Raw genomic sequence first — 14821 nt, forward strand, 5'->3', positions numbered from 1 at the left:
AGGAAGGCAGTGTGGGGTTGCGCAGTATACCTGTGCAAAGGCTCCCAGCTGAAGGGTCAGCAGGGGCTGATGCCCTCTGCTTGCCAGGCTGTGCATCCTGGCAAGGGCTGCATCTGTCTAAACTGGAGAGCCACCTCACTACAATTCACCCAAGGGCAGGAGGTACTCACCAAGTCCTGATCCCCTAGGGTCTTATCCCCAAGTGGGAGGCGCAAATCATCTTAATTTGCTCAAAGATCCCTGTGGTAGTCCTCTAAATAGAAATTCTCTACTGAATTGTGATAAGGTTCAGGTAAATGGTTTAAGTAGGAAAGGTAGAGAAACGAGGCTAGAATAGAGGACACCATTTTGGAAGAATAAGGAGGATGAGGGTCAATGTCAAAGTAAGAGGGGCTATCTAACCAGTAGGAAGCATGAGGAGTTAGGGAGATGCTGCAAGGGAGAAGAGGAATATTGAAAGCAGAAACGAATAGGTGCCAAGGAAAAATCTCACATACTGCTACTACTGCCACCCCTTACTTGAAACTAGAGACTGCAGACTTGTGCAAATGTATATTTACATATTGTAGGTTGAAATTAAGTGGTTTATGATTCTGGACCTGAACTGCCATTCTGATAGCCTGACCGAACTATCTATCCCAATAGCAGCAGATAAGTGGGTTTCTCCTGCAGGTGAAATACGAGGCCAATTCTGAAGTGGCCATACAGCTTGTGTAGAAAAAAAAAAAAATCCCCCATTTTCCTTTTGTGGCTGTTGACAGCTGACTTATAAGTCAACCAGAAAAGCTCAGTTATGCTTCTAGGTTGTGATTGTTCTAGAAGCTTTGTGCATAAGCCCTTCTCCACGGAGTGTGAAGAACTTTGGACCAAGTCTAGATTCAGTCCCCAATCTGTTAGGGACTAGCCGTGTGCTGACAGTTTCAGGCACAAGTTCTCATCTCATCCTATTTCATTTTGTTAAATAATAGAATGAACAAATGTGCAGGGAAGGGATTTTTTACAATGTTACTTGGGTAGGGACTTTTATCATTGGAGGTTTTTCAATATTTTTAAAGTATTCTTGAAAGACTGCATGTATATACTTAAAAGTTTTATGAAAATCCAACAGTTTTTCCTCAATTTCAAACACTTGTCAAGTATTGCGCATACCTTAGCTTTAGCTTCTACCTGAGCTCCGTCTTGTACCAGATACCGCACAACTTCAGCTTGGCCGGAGCGAGCTGCCATGTGCAGTGCTGTTTCTCCTCTCTGGGGAACATGAGCCAAAGTAAATTAGCTGCAGCTCTGAAGAAGAGTAGTGTATTTTATTTGGCATAAAGCTTATGATGGACTTTTTTCAAAAATAAAAAATAGTCCTAAGCACTTCCTTATTGAAAAGATAGGAAATCAAATGCATGAGAATTTCACAGGAACCTGGTCCATGAGGCAAAGACTTTGGCATAAGCCTCGGGAGTCTTGTCACCCACTGTGCCAGGGGTGCTGCTCAGTAACCTACAATGTGGCCTCCCTCAGGGCTGGAAAGGTCAGTGCTCATAGGAGCCAAGCAGGGGGGTGAGTGAGTGCAGCTGGGCAGGTGTGGAGTGCTTGAGAGAGCCCACACCTGCGCTGAAGCAGGCAGCCAACCCCCCACCCCACACCCCCCACATCTGCAGCTCGCTGCTGTCACTGTGCAAGATGCCAGCCTTACCATGCCACACCATGCAACTTTTCAAAAGAAGTGGCAGTCTGGATTTTATACAAATTTTCTAACTCTTAAATATTGACCATAAATTCAGAATTAAAAACAAAACACTACATGGGCAACCTAAACATAGCCAAGGGCTGGATTTGGCTTGTCAACAGCCGGTTTGCATTTCTTGTTTTATCTGAACAGATCAATATCTTAGTCTTTGGGCATTTTTCCCAGTGGGTCATTTTCTTTGCCCTGGACCACCCTCCCCCTACTTTTTCACCAAATAGATTCTAATCCAGATTACTTCTTTACTTGATTAAAAATGAAAATGGTATTAGAAACAGATACACTGAAATGGACAAATAACAAAAATGAAATATATTCTCTCACATAGGTGATGCTCACTTTTAAACTGCCTTTATAAATTGGTCTTTGCTTTATAGGCCACCTACTTCCATGGAAGGACACGTGAAGACAGATTCCACAGGAAACTGGTGGATTGTGTTTACTGGAAAGGTGCTGAGGATGTCATTTAGTATATTACTCAGTGTTCCCTTTACGAATGAAAACATTCTGTGCAATTAGTACTAGGAAAGACTGTATTTCATCTCAGAAGCTGGCCTATTTCTATCTTTTGGTTGTACTGCTTGGGGCTGCTGGAAGATGCACTCTTACTGGGGAGCCCCACTCTCAGGGTAAGCGTGCAGGGCCTCCTAGCTTGCCCCTTCTGTGCCAGGATGGTGCTTGTTTTATTGTTACTTCTTTAATGCTCATGAGTCCAATGAGTGTTATTATGTCTATGGTCTGTTGTGCTAATATTATGATGTCAAATTTGAAATTCTATAAAACAATGTCAAATGCCACATGCAGATCATGGGTGGTAAGTTACCACTCTGATAGCTACTCTGAAGTGAGCCTCATGGTTCCTACAGAGCAATGTTTAGTGTGGGAAAAGAATACCATCGAGTAATCTATGAACACAGAATTCCATGGGTTTGCTATAACATGGTGAAGCACATTAAAGAGAGACTACCTTGAAGTTAGTTGAAATCACTTCTTTTTTTTTTTTTTTTTTTTTGAGACAGAGTCTCACTCTGTTGCCCAGTCTAGAGTGCAGTGGCATGATCTTGGCTTACTGCAACCTCTGCCTCCCAAGTTCAAGTGATTCTCGTGCCTCAGCCTCCTGAGTAGTTGGAATTACATGCATGCACCACCACGCCCAGCTAATTCTTTTTCGTATTTTTAGTAGAGACAGGTTTCATCATTTTGGCCAGGCTGGTCTTGAATTCCCGTCCTTAAGTGATCCACCCATCTCGGCCTCCCAAAGTGCTGGGATTACAGGCGTGAGCCACCATGCCCTGCTAAAATCACTTCTTTGTATAAACGACGATAGTATCTAAACAACCTCTCCAACATGCGGTACTTTTTAATGTTTTTGTTGTAGAAAAATACCCCCCATACTTTATTTTTTATTTATTATTTTTTTTGAGATGGAGTTTCACTCTTATTGGCCAGGCTGGAGTGCAATGGCTCAATCTCAGCTCACCGCAACCTCCGCCTCCCAGGTTCAGGCAATTCTCCTGCCTCAGCCTCCCAAGTTGCTAGGATTACAGGCATGCGCCACCATGCCTGGCTAATTTTGTATTTTTTAGTAGAGACGGGGGATTCTCCATGTTGGTCAGGCTGGTCTCGAACTCCCAACCTCATGTGACCGGCCTGCCTCAGCCTCCCAAAGTGCTGGGATTACAAGCGTGAGCCACCGTGCCCGGCCACACTTTATTTTTTAAAACATAATATCCAGTAGTAATGCACCTGTAAGGTTAATGAACGTAGTTCGTAAGTCCTAACAATTTGTGGCCAACTAGAGACCGAGTGTATCTTGCCTTTGAAGTAAAGGAAACAAATGTATTCTTGAACTTTCTTCTTTTAAGTAGTCATATTAATTACATATTAATTAATTATAATAACAATAAGGCCGGGCATGGTGGCTCATGCCTATAAGCCCAACAATTTAGGAGGCCAGCGCAGGAGGATTGCTTGAAGCCAGGAGTTCAAGACCAGCCTGGGCAAAATAGTGAGGCCCCCGTCTCTACAAAACATTTAAAAATTAGCCAGGCATGATAGCACATTCCTGTAGTCCCAGTTAGTTGGGAGGCTGAGATGGGAGGAGCACTTGAGTCCAGGATTCAAGGCTGCAGTGAGCTATGATTGCACCACTGTATTCCAGTCTGGGAGACAGAGCGATACTCCAACTCTTAAAAAAATAAAAAATAAAAAAAGTAGATAAAAACCACCTTTGCCAGTTTATTAAATACTCACAATGGACCTCCTTTGTTCAAAGAATACTTACCACATTGGTGGTGTTTGGTGAGGCTCCATGATGCATTAGTTGTGATACAATATTTACATGCCCCATGAAGGCAGCAACATGGATTGGGGTAAGGCCCGACTAAGGGGAAAAGAAGAAAATGGTGGTTTGTTGGCTTAGCATAAAAAAGGTTTGTCTGTGAGCCTGCCTGCCTGTCATCCATCCACCCATCTAAATCAGTTTAATGATCGGATTAGAAGACATCAGGACATTCACCATTATGTTACAGATTCTATATGGTAAATATATAAACATATAATCATCGTTTTCCTAAAGCAAATTCTGTTACTATGAAAGACTTATGTCATACCTATTAAAAAAGAAAAAGAATTTATTTCATACTTTTAATGTAGATCTTTGAAAAAATTGATAAATAACTTGAAGGTTGTTTTCCCCTTTACTAATAAACCTTCCTTATCCATATGTGTGTGTGTAGAAGGAGGAGAGCTGTGATTTCATACATACTAGTAAAAAGTCAACTTTTATTTCAGATCCTATTCTGGGCTTTAAAGAGGATTCCCATTTATGTCACATATAAAAGAGCAGGGTACCTAACACAAAGCTGTTTCTTTAATAAATGAACAAATCAGCATTAATAGTTTCAAACATTTAATTGTTTAACTTTATGGGTATTATAAATTAAAGCAATCTAAATAAAGCAAATATTACAATGGTCACTAGACTAGACTTGAATTGCTTCAGATCCTATGCACACATACATATACATAAATGTACATAGACCCCAGAATACTCTTCAGCGTAAAGCAGAATTTATTGATTCCAGGATATTTTATATTGAATATGTCCATGATTGTGAGATTTAGAGTGAATAAGAAAGATAAAAATCTCAAGTCATTAATATTTTAAAGAGTATAATTTACTCGTGCTTTTTATATGAAATGATTCCATTTTAAATTTTTCAGTTTAATTTAGCTTACAACATGAACATCATAACTTGATAAAACATTTTTTTTAGTATGTTTAGAAAAAGCTAACCTGTTTTTTAAAAAAGGGACAGAAGGGGATAATTAATCTCAGCAGAAATTTGAGAAATGTCAAAAATATATGAAAGGAATTCTATACAATCAAAGTGAGGTAAAAGACAGAAAAGGAATAATTCCGGCTGTCCAGAATTCAAAAAGTGAGAAGAATGGAGGACAATTAGGAAAATGAGAATTTTGTTATAGTCTTGGCACCTTTTTCCATCAGCAGGGGGAGTAGTTAGAGCTTGTGCAAGGCAAAATCTTGGTCTGAACTGCCTTTTAAAGCTCTTAGGGAACAGAGAGCTGGATTACTGGTTGATATCTCTGGACATTTACTCAAACATCAGCCAAGAATTTACTTTTATTTTAGAGCCTATTCTTATCTCTAAGAGGGTTCCTATGCACTGAAAGTAAACTTTCTATTTTATACTTAAAAATAACAGGTTGCCTAATATGAACCCATAAGCCTGACAATATGGCAAATCAGTATTCATATTGTCAACCATTTAATATTTTAAAAATTCTAAGTGTAAATCTAGGCAAATATTCCATTTGCAGGCAAGAAACTGAAGCCAAGCAACAATCACTAGACTAGACTTTAATGTTTATGTTTGCTTCAAATCCTATAGTTAAGCATCAGGCATTCAACAAAACTTTACTGAATGATCTGTGTATGGGCCAGACAGTGTGGGTATATGAAGACCAGTCAGACTCAGCCCTGCTTCCAAGGAGCCTTCAGCCTCTGGGGTTCTTGGGGGTGCCACTGAGTCATAAGTCAGAGAGCTGGATAAGGGCTTTGATGGAAATATGCACACGATGAGGTGATGGTTCCTAGAAGGAACATGTAGTCCAGGCTGGGGAGTGAGCGGGGGTTTCCTGAAGAAGGTGGCCCAGATCTGGTTCTAAAGGACGTGCAGGATTTGCCTGGCCAAGGGGGTGTGACACACAGAGGCAGAGACATACGGAGGCAAACAAGAGAGTGTCTAGTCTATGGAAGTGCCAAGGGTTAGAATTAGAATTAACAGAGATCAATCAGAGTGCTAGGATGTAGTGAGGTGGAGGTTGGGGGTCTGGGACAAGTCTGAAAGGGTAGGTGTCAGGCTTGGTTTGCTTTGTAGAAGGCACAGCCCTGATTCTGATGGATCATTTCTCTGAGTTCTGAGTTGGTTCCTATGAGAGAAACTTAGGTCTAATACTTTACTAACCTCAGCAGCTGTTTCATTAATTTTGAGTTTTAAGACAGAGTAACCCTTACTTGAGAAAAGCACCAAGGTCGTCTTGTGCAGGGTTTCTCAACCTCAGCACATTTGACATTTTGAATCAGACGACTTTTTGTTGCGGGAGACTGTCCTGTATACTGTAAACTGTTTAGTAGCATCCTTGGCCTTGACCCACTAGAGACCAGTAGTACTATCCAGTTGTGACAATTAAAAGTACCTCCAGACATGACTAAACGCCCCTTGGGGGACAAAACTGCACCCACTAGAGAAGTACTACAGTATAGGATTTGATATAAATTATGCTTTCTGTGAAGGTGCCCTTCCCCTTAAGCATGTGTTTTAGGTTACATTTCTTGACATGGTGATACATTTGCATCAAACTCACCCACCAACATGTTTGTCTGCTTCTCCTAGGGACTGGCAGCCCTCTTCCTAAAGAGTTCAGAATGCAGTCTATGGCCATGATATGCAAACAAACTAGCTGGTCCCTGGAGATGGCCCTGGGGCTCTGGCTGCTAAGGCTATACTCTCAGTATCTCAGGACTCCCAGAAATCTTAACTCTTCTCACCTCGGTTACAGCTTGGATGGATGCACCGTGTTTCAGAAGGAGTTCCATTACTTTAATTCGATTCTTCTTGCAGGCAATATGAAGAGGGGTAAAGCCATTCTGCAAGGGACAAATACATATACCTGCTTGACTACATTCCATCAAAATCCAGTTTCACTGTGTGCAGTAAATAGTTTTGCTAAAATGATGTGTGGTAAATTGAAATGAACAGAAAGTACCAGGGTTAAGCAGCATGTAGATTCTATTCTAGAAGTAGTCCAGCTGCCCTGGGAACCCAAGGTACCCTGATAATTGTGAACAGGAAGTGAATTTTTATTACACTCTCCTGGTTAGCTGAGGTAAAAATGATCATTCATTTCATTATTTTATTTTGGAATTCACTCTTCCAAATATGTCTCAGGCTGGGTGTGGTGGCTCACATGTGTAATCCCAGCACTTTGGGAGGCTGAGGTGGGTGGATCACCTGAGGTCAGGAGTTCGAGACCAACCTGGCCAACACGGTGAAACCCCATCTCTACTAAAAATACAAAAATTAGGCAGGCATAGTGGCGTGCACCTGTAATCCCAGCTACTTGGGAGGCTGAGGCAGGAGAATCACTTGAACCCAGGAGGCGGAGGTTGCAGTGAGCCGAGATTGTGCCATTGCACTCCAGCCTGGGCAACAAGAGCGAAACTCTGTTTCAAAATAATAAATAATAATAATATGTCCCTCCTCTACCTCATTTCAAATACAGACTGAAAACGTCTGGCCCCAACATTTGTCCTCACAGCTCCACTTCACCAAGGTTTATTCTGTTCTCTTTGCTGTGTTTTAGGACAACTACAAGACCAGCTCTAAAACGTTTTGATTTCTTCTCTAGCTTTATGCTTCAAGTAGGTGTTTACTCCAAGCATGCAGAAATGTAAATAACCCATTATTTGAATCATTTTGTTTACTATTTAATCTAATAAAAGAATCTGCTTTTTAATAAATTATGTCCTAAGTTGTCCTGCCTGCCGATTGAGACTGTGGCACGTATTTCAGCTGCCAGTGGAGAACTATAAAATACCAGAGTCCACTGTAAAAGCTTAGGTCAAAGTCACTGCAGGTGCTTTCACCGAGGCTTCTCAGACCATTTGGCCACAGTCCATCCCAGGATGACTGGCTACAACCTCCATATGTTGTGAAATCTTCAGAGTCAGAGGAAAATGAGAGTGGGAGCCCACGCCCTGTTTTAGGACTTATTTTTTTCTTGTATGGAAAAAAGAGTCATGACTGCTAATTTCCTTTCCTCCCTTCTCAGAATTCAGACACATTTGATAGACTGGGTGGGTCAACAGACTGATCTTGAAATGCTGCTTTGGTAAAAGGTTTTAGAATTATAGTGGCAAGGAGGTGTCTGGGGTCTGGAGAGTTTCTCTTTCGTCATTCTTTCCTGTCCACTCTGAATTTTAGAGCCCACAGAGTACAAGAGGTGGTACGGATCTATCCAGACAGGATGACCGCACTCTTTGGAAAGGGGCAAAAACCCTTCCTAAAAGGGTCAATTGGATGATGACAACCTTTACCTCAAAATTGCTAGTAAACTCACATGTTTTCCCTAAAATTGGGTGACTTATTTTTTCCTAAACTTGGGTACTTATTCTGAAATAGACAGCTTACTAATTTGGGACCATTTATTTTTGCAAAGACAACAAGTACCATCTTGCTGAGAAAACCAAAGTACAGCATAGCTAAAGGTTAAAAGAACAAATTAAAGTGAAGCCTATAAACTGGACCAAAATTCTGATTGGCAAACGGAAACAGAAGATTACAGGCAATATTTCATTAACTTACAAGGTTAAGATATATAAAATTTTAGCTCACAAATTCCTAGACCACTTATGTTTCAAATAGAGTTTTTTGATAACTTTGCCTTGTTTTCAGATCTCAGAATAAACTTTTAATTCACAGAATTATAAGTTTATCCACAATAAGACGACGTTGGCCACCTTAGTCTTTTTATAATTGTATAGTCTTTGGGTTCATACGGGAATCACTTATGTGACCATAAAAACATTAACAGTTTGGCTCCCTCAGCCTTTCTCATGTCAGAAATAGAAAATTTTGTAGACTTTCCTGAAGGATATTTGAAAAAATTGACAAGAAGTACACTTTAACTAGCACCTTCTATTTTAACCTCCTCAAAGCATTCCCTTCACATACAGAGGCAGCACGTTGTGAGCAAGACAACTGAGGCTGGACTCGCTGGTTGAGCCACTCACCAGGGCTTTGGCATTGGGGTTAGCTTTCTTATCCAAGAGAACCTTGGCAACTTTGTAATGGCCACAGTGGGCAGCCACGTGTAGGGCAGTCAGGTAGTCATTGGTGACATCATCCACGGGTACATTATGCTGGAGGAGAAGCTGGACGCAGTTTAAATGATCCCCTTGTGTGGCCATGTGCAATGGAGATAATCCATTCTGGAACACATAAAGAAATCAGAGTTCATTCTTTTACCTTTTAAACACAAATGTGCAGAACACAAAGTGCAAATATAAACAGATAAAAACTCCAGTTCTTCACATGAAAATACCTTCTATTTGTAAAAGCTTTTGACAACTATTTTGAACTACAGCTATTTTTAAAACTGGTCCTCCCAACTGCTTATGCCAGTCAATAACAAGTTGTCAAGGATAATGTCTTTTCCCAATTTAATAGAAGTGAGAATTGCAGCATGGGTCATAACTTAGAGGCATATGAATTTTACTTTTCTTTTTCTTTTAAATAGAGATGGGGTTTCACTCTGTTGCTCAGCTGGTCTCAAACTCCTGGCCTGAAGCGATCCTCCTGCCTTAGCTTTTCAAAGCACTGGGATTATAGGTATGAGCCACTGTAATTTGGCCAGATAGGAATTCTTAATATTTAAGACTAAAAGAAAAAATGAAGGTAAGAACAGTGGTATTCATTGGACTGGTATTAATTTTGTCCTTAGAGATTACTAACACCCAATATTGAAGACTATACTGATTTGACTTTAAAAAAGGTCTGAATGTAACGCATTTCATCTCACATCAAAGAAGAAAGGAAAACTTTTCCCTTTTCTATCAATCTGGTGCCCCCATGTGTCTATGATGAGGAAAGGCAAGGCATTGACAAAGCCACTAACTAATGCTTGACTTGTTAGTTTAAATCAACTGGGTTCAATAACACAGTTAATCACGTGCAGTAGGAGCGAGTTGAAAATTCATTTAAAGAGCAGAGAGAATAAATAAATAGGGTCAAAGGTAAATAAAACCTAGAATGACACTGGCACTCAATATGTTTCCTAATGAAGGCAAAACAAGCTATGAAGATGTCAGTCCTTTCTTTTAACTATGATGGCGAAGTGGGGGAGCCTGGGAAATTCCTAGAGAATTCAATTATCAAGAGAGGCTCTATCAATTATTGTAACATAATTTAACATATATTAGGGAAAAGTAATTTGACAGCAAATTCAGTTTCTAAAAAAATTGTCATCAATGAATTTTGACAATGACAGATCAAATATGTACCAAGGAACCAGAGGTTTCTGAATCCTCTGAGCCAAGTTATTTGCTCTGAATTTATCAATGGATGACACAAAGAAGGAGTTCAAGATAAGAAAAAGTAGTATAAGCTCCTTGTTAACCATTCTAACGGCATTATCCACTCTCTGACATATATTTCAACTATTTGTGTTCCGTGAAGGCAAGAGGTACATGGTTATTATTTTTTCATTGCCCAGAAGAGAGCTTTGCATATACAGAAAGAGCTCAGCAAATATCTAGGTCAATTTAAAGGCCTCGTACACTGTCAGCCCATCAGGATATTTCTGCCTAAAAAATTTCCCTCAAATATTTTAAACCGTAGAAATTAAGGTGCAGGAAAAGGTAGGAACATTTCCCATTTGAGATACTGCTACCCACGAGCATATGGACTGCTTTATTCCTGCCAAAATATTCTTTTGCTTTATGTTTTGATACAGTCTTAGAGGAAAACATGAAGTAAACAAGTGAACAAACAAAAAAATCCCACAAAATCTGAGAGAACAAGTAATAGTGGAGAGTAAAAATGGGAGGCAGTGTCAATAAAAAAAAATTCTCTAGCAATGCAAAAACACAATGATTGTGTGGATGGGAAACTTAAAGATAATTGGAGAAGGACAAGAAAACAGTAAAGAAAAGATCATCTGCCCTATGGAAAGAGGTGGTATTACATATGGTGCCTGAAAATATGGAACCAATGTGATGGGCTTTCTTAGCTCAGTAAGATGAAATTCTTGAAGAACGGGTCAGATGGCCTTAAGGCTAGGAATGTACTCATTCACTTAATAGTCATTCAACAAATATTTACTGAAGCCCTACTGTGTTCTGCGCATGAAAATAGGTGCTTGTGGGTATTGCACTCAACAAGGAAAAGTTCTTGCTTTCATTCTATTGAAGAGAACCAGACAGCAAGCAAGTAAACAAGCATATAATTTCAAGATGGTGTTAAAAGCTCTAAAGAAAATAAAATATGGCCAGATGGCACTGGCAGGAGGTGGTGAAGATGGGAGGGGTAAATCGTGAGAAAACGCCTGTCTATGAGGAAGACATTTGAGTTGAAGAATATACGGGGACCACAGAGATCTGGAACAAGCTGAGGGAACTCAAACCAAGCAAACAGGAAATGAGAACAAAGGCGTATTCTAGGAAGTAAAAGAAGGCTGGTTAGCTAAAAGATGGCAAGGAAGGAGCAAAACCGGAGGAGATGAGGAAGAGAGGTGGTCAGAATCTGTTAAGAAGTCTATCCTCAGTGCAGAGGGAGACTTCTGATCAAACACAGCAGGTGTAATAGATATATGTATCCTTCCTCTCCCAAAACTCCACCAAAAAGCAGTAATGGATTTAAAGGGTAAAATCTAGAAGGGCACACATGTGTGTTTCCTTTTCCATTCCCACACACACAATGGGGAAGAAATAAAAAACCAGATGAGGGTTGTCTCCAAACTTCAGAATATGAAAAGAGGATTTGAGTGTGGTAATTCATCCAGCTGAAGAGAGAGGCTGAAACCTAAGTGTCTGAAGCAGTAGAATCAGTGCTGTGCTGACAAATGTTTTAACACCCAACTCCTGGAAAAAGAAAAGCCCCAGTGTGTAGCACTACCCAATTTCCATGCTGTAAATCCCCCCACAATAACCCATTTCAAGCCGTCCATCTGATGTTACTGAATGGGGAATTGGAAAGAGATGTACACAACCAGCTCATGAGCCGATACAATCAGGATCCAGCACACTGCTGGGAATAAAAAGACAAGCTGATTTGCCTCTCAAATCCCAAAAAGGCAAAGGCTGTGGAAGCGTAGTACCTCAGAAGATAAAGTGAGACTTGGGGCTGCAAATAAGATTGGTTCAAAGACTGTGTATGGAGCCGTCAGGTCTCCAGGCCCTTCCCAACTCAGCAAAGTCAGGTAACTGCCTCCTGCTAGCCTGAAGGACACCAGAATTAGTGTCTGGAGAAGGTGAACTAGAGAGATTCAGACTCAAGGGCCCAGGCAGAACAGAGGGCAGTGACGAGGATCTGGACCAAGAATAGGTGATCACAGAAAAAGGAAGGAGAATGGAGGCGTTAAGGATGTGGTCTCTGGAGTTGGGCTGCTTGGGTTCAAATCCTTGTTCTGCCACTAATTGGGATATTTTGAGAAAGCTACTTTACCTCTTTGGGTTTCAGTTTCCTCATCTATGAAAAGGGAATAACAGTAATACCAGTATCTCATTTAACGAGGATTAAATGAGTTAATATGTGTAAAGAACATAGAGCCTGATAAGCAGTAATCACTATGTAAAATATTGCTTATCATTATTATGATTAAAGTATGCATAAAGCACAAGACTGGCAGCCTCTTTCCCCTACTCAGAATGTATTCACACATGTGTGCACTGCAAAGGTTGGTGGATTTGTCTCTCAAAAAACTATACCGCCTAAGGTAAAGGGAACCTAATTGTGACATTAAAGAGCCCCTCTTAACCACTGCCACCTGATCAGCACTGCCTACACTCTTTAGAGCTGCCACTCACATGTTTGTGCCTGACACAATTAGGTACAGCCATTGTGGGAAGCCTTCATTGTAAAATACAGAGCCAAAAAAAAAAAAAAAAAAAAAGGAAAAAAAGGAAATCTGAGGAATTAGGGACATTTGGGAAACAGAAAAACTAAATTAAAAGAAAAGTTATCTCAAATGTTCTCAGAAAGGTAACAGAAAAAAATGTACCCATTAAACAAGAACAGGATACTTTAAGAAAAGAAGCTATCTGATAACAAGAAAATGTTCTTGAAAATTAAAAGATTGGAAGAAAAAAATTAAGAAGATTTCTCAGAAAAAATCCAAAGCAATGAGATGAATAGGAGAAAAAATATGAGCAACTCTCTGATTTTTAACATTGGTCCTTACTGCTCTGAGAAAATGAAAATCAATTTGAAAGAGAACAATGGGGATTAATGGGAGGGTTTTTAAGCAGGAGGCTGACATGATTTGGATGACAGTTTATATGGCCACTCTGACTGCAAAGTGGGAACTGATTTGTAAAGGAGCAAAAAGGGAAATGGGGGACCAACAGGAAGCTACTACAGTGGTTAGGTGAGAGATGATAATGTGGCTTAGAAGATAGCAGTGGAGGGGGAAAGAAAATAGATATGGGGTATGTAAAAGGAAAAGAACAAATAGAATCATCAAGATAAGAAACACTCAAAAGGCCAAGATGTCATCATATACAATGAAAACATCATGGCTGTTTAATTCTGTTAGACAATACCCTCAACAGCTCACCAATCTAAACCCTACGTTTTAAATGAGTGATGGAATTGTCCAGACCATCTCAACCCTGTCTAGCCTTCCTAATATTGTTGAGGAAACACTGACCAGAGTGAAGACAGAAATAATATGTGCTTTTGTTGCTTTGATAATGTTTAGAGATTAAAGCTCTTAGTAAAGCTTAGTATCATTTCCAAAAAAATCACTGGTTTAATTAATAAAAGTAGTAGTGACAATGAGGTGGTTTACATGTCTCAAAATTTATTTGCAAATATTCTCCTCTTCAAATGATGTCAAATGGTTTTACTATTAAAAAAAAGTCTAAAAGAGAGTCAACCATTAATTTTTTTCAGGCAATCATCATGTGTTCCTTTCAGCTATGTCAACATTCCCAAAAGCCCAATCAAGGTGCAGTCTTTCCAAAGTTTCCAGTCTTTATCAGCTAAGTGATATCCTTGACCTCCTTAAAAGTCTATGAACTCTCAAGAAGTAAGCTGAGGTGCTGAAGATAGCCGGCACCCAAACGTTAGAGAGTGTAGAACTTTAGTCTTTCTTAACCTGACAAGCAATTATTTCTGAGCTATGAAAATTTCACAGAGTAAAATCAAGCAGTAAGCATTCCTGAAACACAACAAAAACCACACACACACAAACAACTTTGTGGTATAGCACATTCTACATAAAATCTTAATTAGCCCAAACTTATTCTGAGGTTCTATAAAGATCTGGTGAACATAACTACTCTGACTGCTACATTGAAAATGTCATTTTCTATGTGATTCAAAAGGCTAGATCATATAACCATCAAAATAAATACAGTCCAATGTCCAGAAACCTGAAAAGAAATTACCTTGGTTTTTGAAAGAATGGGGGCAGCTCGATCAAGCAACATTTCTACCACCTGCTCGTGGCCACTCCTTGCTCCACAGTGCAGTGGTGTCAGACCATCCTGTTGAACAAAGGAAACATCACCAATTAAATTTGACAATAAATTCTATGAGTGCAGTGTACTTCTTCAAGATCCAGCATGGCACCCAACATGCTGTGGTCAAGCGGGCTTCAAACATTTGCTCATTTATTTCATAAAATAATTCCTTATTTTAGGTTGAAAACTACATTTTTTCATAAGTTTAAGTAGCTGCAAAGTATGTAATTTCCCACAAGTTTGAATATTGACGTTTAAATATATAACTTTTCCACTAGTCTTTTGAATAGCCAATAAAATCTAAGTACTACAAG

General features: G+C 39.8%; 1 protein-coding gene across 4 annotated transcripts in view; it reads right to left on the reverse strand.

Annotated features, from left to right (window-relative positions):
• ANK3 (ankyrin 3) overlaps positions 1 to 14821 on the reverse strand; it is a 707231-nt gene that overhangs the window by 172682 nt on the left and 519728 nt on the right. For all 4 annotated transcript variants that reach the window (NM_001204403.2, NM_001204404.2, NM_001320874.2 and 1 more), the window contains 5 exons: positions 14433 to 14531; positions 9057 to 9254; positions 6813 to 6911; positions 4023 to 4121; positions 1150 to 1248 (listed from right to left, as the gene is read on the reverse strand). In NM_001204403.2, coding sequence (NP_001191332.1) covers positions 1150 to 1248; positions 4023 to 4121; positions 6813 to 6911; positions 9057 to 9254; positions 14433 to 14531 — 594 coding nt within the window. The remainder of the gene's footprint in view (positions 1 to 1149; positions 1249 to 4022; positions 4122 to 6812; positions 6912 to 9056; positions 9255 to 14432; positions 14532 to 14821) is intronic.

The sequence above is a fragment of the Homo sapiens genome, chromosome 10 (assembly GCF_000001405.40).
Source record: "Homo sapiens chromosome 10, GRCh38.p14 Primary Assembly".
NCBI classification, from domain to species: domain Eukaryota; kingdom Metazoa; phylum Chordata; class Mammalia; order Primates; family Hominidae; genus Homo; species Homo sapiens.